The sequence below is a fragment of the Homo sapiens genome, chromosome 8, assembly GCF_000001405.40.
Source record: "Homo sapiens chromosome 8, GRCh38.p14 Primary Assembly".
In the NCBI taxonomy this organism is placed as follows: domain Eukaryota; kingdom Metazoa; phylum Chordata; class Mammalia; order Primates; family Hominidae; genus Homo; species Homo sapiens.
Window position 1 is genome coordinate 9,865,162 of NC_000008.11, and position 2,072 is coordinate 9,867,233.

At 44.3% G+C, this 2,072-nt stretch overlaps 1 non-coding gene across 1 annotated transcript; it reads right to left on the bottom strand.

Annotated features, from left to right (window-relative positions):
• Positions 1-1,745: 1,745 nt before the first annotated feature.
• Positions 1,746-1,849, bottom strand: LOC124902085 (small nucleolar RNA U13). The gene has a single exon (XR_007061216.1). It is a non-coding gene; the product is annotated as a small nucleolar RNA U13 (small nucleolar RNA).
• Between the last annotated feature and the right edge of the window lie 223 nt (positions 1,850-2,072).

Below are 2,072 nucleotides of genomic sequence, written 5' to 3' on the forward strand. Positions count from 1 at the left end.
CCTCCAGTGCACAGGGGCAGATCCTGCCTTACCATCATGGAACTTCTAAATCCTCAGGGAAGATAAACATGGAGCAGTTAATTGCACAACTGAAGAACGCCGTTAAGAAGACCTAAGAGTACCCAAGAGAAATGAGTGCCTACGAAAGGCAGCTCTAAGAATGTTCATATAGCTTCATGCATAATAGCCCCAAACGGCAAATAACCCAAACGCTCAACAACAGAAGAATGAATAAATAAATTTCATACAATGGAAGACTACTCAGCAAAAACAGCAACAACCCGCTGCTGAATGCAACAGCATGAATCACTCTCACAGGCGTAGGGCTGCATGCGAGAAAGCAGACACAAAAGAGCACATGCTGCATTCTGTTTATATGAAGTCTAAGAAGAGGCCAGAGAAGACACAAGAGCGTTTACCTCCGAAGGGGGCTTAATATTAGTATTTTTTGAGTCAGGGTCTTGCTCTGTCACCCAGGCTAGAGGGCAGTGGTGCAATCTCAGGTAATGCAACCTCCGCCTCCCAGGTACAAGTGATTCTCCTTCCTCAGCTTCCGGAGTAGTTGGGATTACAGGCTCGCACCACCATGCCCAGCTAATTTTTGTATTTTCAGTAGAGACAAGGTTTCACCATTTGCCCAGGCTGGAAATGGTTTATATCTTGATCTGAATGGTGATTTTGCAGTTGTACACATACGCAAATTTGTCAAGGTGTGCACTTGTACACTTTTCTCTATTTACATTATCCCTCAGTTTTTCTTTTCTTTCCTTTTTTTTCTGAGTCTTGCTCTGTTGCCCAGGCTGGAGTGCAATAGAGCAACCTCAGCTCACTGCAGCCTCTGCCTCCCAGATTCAAGCAATTCTCTTGTCTCAGACTCCCGAATAGCTGGGATTACAGGCGTGCATCACCACATCCAGCTACTTTTTTTTAAGTAGAGATGGGGTTTCACCATGTGGCCAGGCTGGTCTCAAACTTCTGGCCTCAAGTGACCTGCCTGCTGTGGTCTCCCAAAGTGCTAAGATTACAGGTGTGAGACACCGTACCTGGCCCATTATCCCTCAATTTTTTAAAGGTAAGTGGATGTGGACCTAAAAGGGAATTTTCAACTTTTTTTTTTTTTTTTTGAGACAGGGTCTCACTCTGTTGCCCAGGCTGGAGTGCAGTGGTGCAATCACAGCTCACTGCAGCCTCAAACTCCCAGGCTCAAACGATCCTCCCACCTGAGCCTCCTGAGTATCTGGGACCACAGGCACCTTGTTCCAAAATAAATAAAGAGAGATAGATATGTAGATTGTCCCTGAAGCTTGTAATTGGCCTTGTAGTTTTCACTGTTGGCTCACAACTGTGTTGCACAGTAGCTCTCAATTGTGGCTATGCATTAGAATCACTTTTGTTTTAATTTTGTTATTTAATTTATTTTCTTTTCTTTCTTTTTGTTTTTTTGAGACACAGTCACACTCTGTCACCCAGGCTGGAGTGAAATGGCAAGATATCGGCTCACTGCAACCTCTGCCTCCTGGGTTCAAGTGATTCTCCTGCCTCAGCCTCCCAAGTAGCTGGGATTACAAGAGCAAACCACCATGCCCAGCTAATTTTTGTATTTTTAGTAGAGACAGGCTTTCATCATGTTGGCCAGGTTGGTATCAAACTCCTTACCTCATGTGATCTCCTGCCTTGACCTTGCCAAAGTACTGGGATTACAGGTGAAAGCCACCACGCCTGTCTCCTTTTTTTTTTTTTTTTCATGTCAGACAGGTAATGTGCCAACGTTGTAACAAGGTTTGAGGCAGGCACATCTCACACTTGAGCACAACATCCCAATCATCGCACTTATGACCTACAAAAGGATCTAATCCTTGACACAGGTAAACTATTTACGTGATTTAACATTCAACTAATTTTAAAAGGTCCGTAGGAAAAGTTGCTCTCTGCCCTCTGTCTCCCAGCCTCCTGTAACTCCCTCAGAGGCAACCCTCATCCCAAGGATCTTGTGAATCCTTCCAGAGATTTTATGCTTCTATAACCAAAGGCAAATACACATTATTATCCCCTATACAAATGGAAGCATACTG